Source organism: Homo sapiens, chromosome 2 (assembly GCF_000001405.40).
Source record: "Homo sapiens chromosome 2, GRCh38.p14 Primary Assembly".
Classification (NCBI taxonomy): Eukaryota; Metazoa; Chordata; class Mammalia; order Primates; family Hominidae; genus Homo; species Homo sapiens.
The window spans coordinates 85,100,251-85,106,793 of NC_000002.12; the positions used below are offsets into that span (position 1 = coordinate 85,100,251).

Below are 6,543 nucleotides of genomic sequence, written 5' to 3' on the forward strand. Positions count from 1 at the left end.
GATCACAGTGAGCTATGATCATGCCACTGCACTCCAGCTTCGGTGAGAGAGTGAGACCTTGTCTCTAAAAAAAAAAAAAGAAAGAAAGTAAAGAGAGAAAAGAAAAGGAAAGGAAAGAAAGAAAAAAGTATGTCAACAAACTGGATAACTTAGATGAACAAATTCTTAGATAGACAAAAACTACAAAAATTACCTCGAAAGGAATAGAAAATCTGAATATATTTATAACAAGCAAAGAAACTGAGTCATTAATCTAAAAACATTCAACAAAGAAAAGCTACCAGATGGTTTCACTGATGAATCCCACCAAATGTTTGAAGAACTAACACCGACCCTTCTCAAACTCTTCCAAAAAATAGAAGAGGATGGAATACTTCCTAACCCATTCTATGAGGCCAGTAGTACCCTGATACCAAAGCCAGACAAAGACATCACAAGAAAACTATAAACCAATATCCCTATGCATATAGACACAAAGATCCACAACAAAACACTAGCAAACAAAAGTTTGCAACGTATAAAAAGTTTTATACACCATGACCAGGTGAGATTTATCTCAAGGATGGAAGGTAGGTTCAATATATGAAAATCGATTAATATACTACATCATATCAATAAAATAAAGGACAAAAACTATGCGATCATCTCAATACAATTAGGAAAAGCACTGGACAAAATCTAACACCCTTTCGTGACAAAACATACTTAATAAATTAGAAATGGAAGGGAATTCTCAACCTGATAAGGGGCATCTCTGAAAAACCCATAGTTAATAGCATAATTAACGGTGAAAGACTAGATGCTTTCCCCCTAAGGTCAGGAGCAAGACAAGGATGTTCACCAATTGTAGTCAGCATAGTACTGGAGGATCCAACCAGGGCAATTAGGCTACAATATGTAATAAAAGCCATCAGGATGAAAAGGTAGAAGTAAAGCTATCTTGATTTGCAAATCTTATATATAGAAAATCGTAAGGAATCTAGTAAAAAAATTATTAGAACTTGCCCAGGAGCGGTGGCTCATGCCTGTAATCCCAGCACTTTGGGAGGCCGAGGCTGGTGGATCATGAGGTCAGGCGGTCGAGACCATGGTGAAACCCCGTCTCTGCTAAAAATACCAAAAGAAAAAATAATTAGCCGGGCGCGGTGGCAGGTGCCTGTAGTCCCAGCTACTCAGGAGGCTGAGGCAGGAGAATGGCGTGAACCGGAGAGGCGGAGCTTGCAGTGAGCCGAGATAGCACCACCGCACTCCAGCCTGGGCAATGGAGCGAGACTCCGTCTTAAAAAACAAACAAACAAACAAAAAATTATTAGAACTAATGCATTCAGCAAGATCACAAGATGTAAGATCAATATACAAAAATTAATTATATTTCTACACATTTGTGAAGAACAATCTGAAAATGAAATTAGGAAAACCATTTCATCTATGATATCATCAAAAAGAATAAAATCCTGGGAATATAGTTAACTAAAGAAGCATAAAATTTATACTCTGGAAACTATGAAAATATTCATGAAAGAAATGAACAAATCCTAAATAAAAAGAAAAGTATTACACGTTCATGGATTAAAAGACAATTTTTTTTCTCTTGGTGGTCATATTTATTGAAAGAGCTTGAGAGAAATGAAAATACCATTTAGCTTAGTTATGAGTCATCTGCAAATCAACTCATTTCAGGAGTGGAAGAATCCCCAGAATTATTTCTTTTTTTATTTCATTTTTCTTTTTTTTTTTGAGATGGAGTCTCACTCTGTCGCCCAGGCTGGAGTGCAGTGGCACAATCTCGGCTCACTGCAAGCTCCGCCTCCCGGGTTTACGCCATTCTCCCGCCTCAGCCTCCCGAGTAGCTGGGACTACAGGCGCCCGCCACCGCGCCCGGCTAATTTTTTGTATTTTTAGTAGAGACGGGGTTTCACCATGTTAGCCAGGATGGTGTCGATATCCTGACCTTGTGATCCGCCCGCCTCGGCCTCCCAAAGTGCTGGGATTACAGGCGTGAGCCACCACGCCCGGCCTCAGAATTATTTCTTAATATCAAAATGTATGCAGGATTCTCTTTTGAATGTCTTGTACATTTAGAGAGGCCACTGTGCAAAGTCTCCTATTTTCCATACAGGACAAATTCTTTGTTTCAGCCAACTCTCAGTGGAGGGGCAACCAGGACAACGACATCTCCCTGGACAAAAAGCATTGGAATATTCCATTTCATTGGTTTATATATCTCTTCATATGTTTCTTCATCAATTTCTATAGTAGTCACAGTTTCTTCCATGTCTCCCAAGATCATATTTAAATGTTGATCATAAGCATGGTAATCTGCCTCGAAGCTCTCGGTCATTTCTCATTTTCACATAAATTCTCTCACCTAGGCTGAGCCTGATAAAATCCAGGGGCTCCTCTACAGTGTTGGTAGTTTGTTGCTGGTCTACTTCGTCCGCCATGTTTCCAGAAGACGTAAATATTTTAAAATTTATTTATTTATTTATTGAGATGGTGTTTCACTCTTGTCACCCAGGCTGGAGTGCAATGGCACAATCTCAGCTCACTCCAACCTCTCCCTCCTGGATTCAAGCCATTCTCCTGCCTCAGCCTCCAGAGTAGCTGGGATTACAAGCACCCAGAACCACACCCGCCAATTTTTGTATTTTCAGTAGAGATGAGGTTTCACCATGTTGCCCAGGCTTGTCTTGAACTCCTGACCTCAAGTAATCCACCCACCTTGGCCTCCCAAAGTGCTGGGATTACAGTCATGAGCCACCACATCCAGCCTATTTATTTATTTTTACCATAAGGCTTTTTTGTGAATACTTAATATTGTTAAGATGGCAATACTCTCCAAATTGATTTACAGATTACATCAATTCTTATCAAAATCTCAGCTGACTTCTTTGAAGAAATTGACAGGCTGATTCTCAAGTTTATTTGGAATTGAAAGGAACTCCAAATAGCCAAAATAATCTTGAAAAGGAAGAACAAAGTTAGAGGACTCACATTTCCTTATTTCAAAACTTAATACAAAGCAGCAACAATCAAGATAATGTGGTACTAGCATAAGGACAGATATATTGATCAACGGAATAGAATTGAGAGTCCAAGAATAAAACCATGTGTCTACAGTCAACTAATTTTTGACAAAGATGTCAAGATCATTCAATGGGAAAAAAATTGTCTTTTCAACAAATGATGCTGAGACAACTGGTAGCCATATGCAAAAGAATGAAGTTGGCTTCTTACCATATAAAAAAATTAATTCAAAACGAATATAAGACCTAAGTGTAAGAGTTAAACTATAAAAGTCTTGGAAGAAAACATGAAAGTATTGGAAGAAAAATATTGATTACCTTATATTTGGCAATGGATATTTAGATATGATACCAGTAGCGCAAGTAACCAAGGAAAAAAGAGATAAATTGGTCTTGATCAGTATTAGAAACCTTTGTGCTTCAAAGGACACTATCAAGAAAGTGATAAGACAACCCACAGAATGGGAGAAAATTTTATAAATCACATCGCTAATAAGGGATTTATAGCTAAACACATAAAAGACATAAACAACACAACTCACACTCAATAAAATACAGATAATTAAATTTTAACATGGGAAAACCACAACTAGGTGAACGGACTTAGCGCTATTGAACTGTATATGTAAAAGGACTAAGATGGTAAATTTTATGTTATGTATATTTTACCAGAATTTTTTTAAAGTTTTTTTAGGCCAGATGGGATGGCTCACGCCCATAATCCCGGCATTTTCGGAGGCCAAGATGGGAACCCAGGAATTTGAGACCAGCCTGGGGAAAATAGCAGGACTCCATCTCTACGAAAAATTTGAAAATTAGCCCGGCATGGTGGTACATGCCTGTAGTCCTAGCTATTCAGGAGGCTGAGGCAGGAGGACTGCTTGAGCCCAGGAGTTCGAGGCTGCAGTGAGCTACAATTGCACCACTGCACCCCAGCCTGGGTGACACAGCAAGACCTCATCTCTGGAAAAAAAAATTTTTTTAATGGGCAAATGTTCAAAACAGACATTTCTCCAAAGAAGAAACAGAAATGGTCAATGAGCACATGAAAAGATACTCAACATTATTAGTTGTCAGGGAAATCCAAATCAAAACCACAGTGAGATACCACTTCACACCCACTAGTATGGTTATAATGAAAAAGATAGTAACAAGTGTTACTGAGGATGTGGAGAAATCAGAACCCTCATATACTGCTGGTGGTAACGCAAAATGGTACAGCTGCTTTGGAAAACAGTTTAGCACTTCCTCAAATGATTAATTATAAAGTTAACATATGATCTAGCAAATCTACTCCTAGGTGTACCCCTGGAAGAATTTAAAACATATGTCTACATAAAAACTTTTACACAAATGTTTATAGCTTCCGTATTTATAATAGCCAAAAAGTAGAAACAACTCAAATGTCTGTCAACTCACAAATCTGTAAAGAAAATGTAGAATGATATATCCAATCAATGAACTGTTTTTTGGCCATAAGAAGGAATGAAGTAATGGCACAGGCTACAACGTGAATGAACCTGAAAACGTTATGATATTTCTCATAATGATACTGTAATCATTTTATATGATTCTATTTAAGAGATTAGTGGTTTTCCTGGGCTGGGATGCATGGGGGAGAGAGGGGGTCACAGCTGAAGGGTATAGGGTTCATTTTTGAGGTGATGAAAATGTTCTAAAATAGACTCTGGTGGGCCAGGCACGGTGGCTCACGCCTGCAATCCCAGCACTTTGGGAGGCCGAGGCAGATGGATCATGAGGCCAAGGGTTCGAGACCATCCTGGCCAACATGGTGAAACCCCGTCTCTACTAAAAATACAAAAATTAGCCAGGTGTGGTGGCATGCGCCTGTAGTCCCAGCTACTCGGGAGGCTGAGGCAGGAGAATTGCTTGAACCCAGGAGGTGGAGGTTGCAGTGAGCCAAGATCGAGCCACTGCACTCCAGCCTGGTGGCAGAGCCAGACTCTGTCTGGAAAAAAAAAAAAAAAATTGACTCTGGTGATGGTTGCACATTTCTGCGAATATACTAAAAACCACTGAACTTTATACTTTCAAGCAGTGGATTGTACGGTATGTGAATTATATCCTGATAAAGCTGTTTAAAATTTTTATGAAAAGGAAAGAAATAGATTAATTTCAATAAAGGTTAAACTAAGCTTAATATTTTTCAAGAAAGTTTGGTTAAAAAGTCATTTTTAGTTTTTAGTGGGGATGAAACATGCACTATATATCACAGTTGATCAACATCTTGTGTAGTAGAAATTTGTAATAAGGCTTTGGATTTTTTTGGATAAAGTAAAATAAGGAAGACATTTTTAAAATGAAAAGGTTTCTTTACCTATACTATTGATTTGCATGGGAGTTGACATCCTTTGTGGATTGGAGGGACCACACAAAAAGTGTGTGCTAATAAGTTCAGCAAAATGCACAACTCACAGGGGAAAAAAAAAAAATTCTCGACCAGGTGCGGTGGCTCACGTCTGTAATCCTAGCATTTTGGGAGGCCAAGGTGAGTGGATCACCTGAGGTCGGGAGTTCAAGACCAGCCTGACCAACAAGGAGAAATGCCGTCTCTGCTAAAAATACAAAATTAGCTGGGCGTGGTGGCGCATGCCTGTAATCCCAGCTACTTGGGAGGCTGAGGCAGGAGAATCACTTGAACCAGGGAGGTGGAGGTTGCGGTGAGCCAAGATTGTGCCACTGCACTCCAGCTTGGGAGACAGAGCGAAACTCCATCTCAAAAAAAAAAAAAGAAAAAGAAAAGAAAAAAATTCTCTTCTCAAAATGGCATTACTGATTTATTATTGAATGATTATATCTACATCTTAATAATCACACTAATATACCATGAGCTGTAGGTATAATTTTTATGCAGGGGTTCTCTGAGACCTAAAAATCATTTCAAGAGTTGTTCTAAGCAGTACGGTGGCTCACGCTTGTAATCCCAGCACTTTGGGAGGCCGAAGTGGGAGGATCACTTGAGCCCAAGCGTTTGAGACCAGCCTATGCAGTTTAGTGAGACCTCATCTCTACAAAAAATACAAAAATTAGCTGGGCATGGTGGTGCATGCCTGCAGTCCCATCTACTCAGGAGGCTGAGGTGGGAGGATTTCTGAAGTCCAGGAGGTCCAGGCTGCAGTGAGTTCAACTGCAGTGCCACACTGAACTCCAGCCTGGGTGGCAGAGTGAGTCCCCGTCTAAGCAAAAAAAAAAAAAAGGAGTTCCCCTGGAGTGAAAAGATTGGGAAAGACTGCTCTATAGGCAACCGTTTCTGCTTTCATTATTTATGAAAATATAATTTTAATATATAATTTATATATTCATATTTCCACACTTTTCTTACCCAAAGAATGGCACACTATGCACTGTTCTGCCCCTTGCTTTTTTCCATTTAGCCATATTTTCTGGAATCCATGGAGGTAGATAGGGGTTCTTCTCATTGCTTTTTACATCTGTATAGGACTCCACTGTATAGCTGCGACATTCAACCAGTCCCCAAACACCATTTTTGTTATTT

At 39.3% G+C, this 6,543-nt stretch overlaps 1 pseudogene; it reads right to left on the reverse strand.

The window, feature by feature from the left end:
- On the reverse strand, positions 1,727-2,449 carry LSM3P3 (LSM3 homolog, U6 small nuclear RNA and mRNA degradation associated pseudogene 3; annotated as a pseudogene).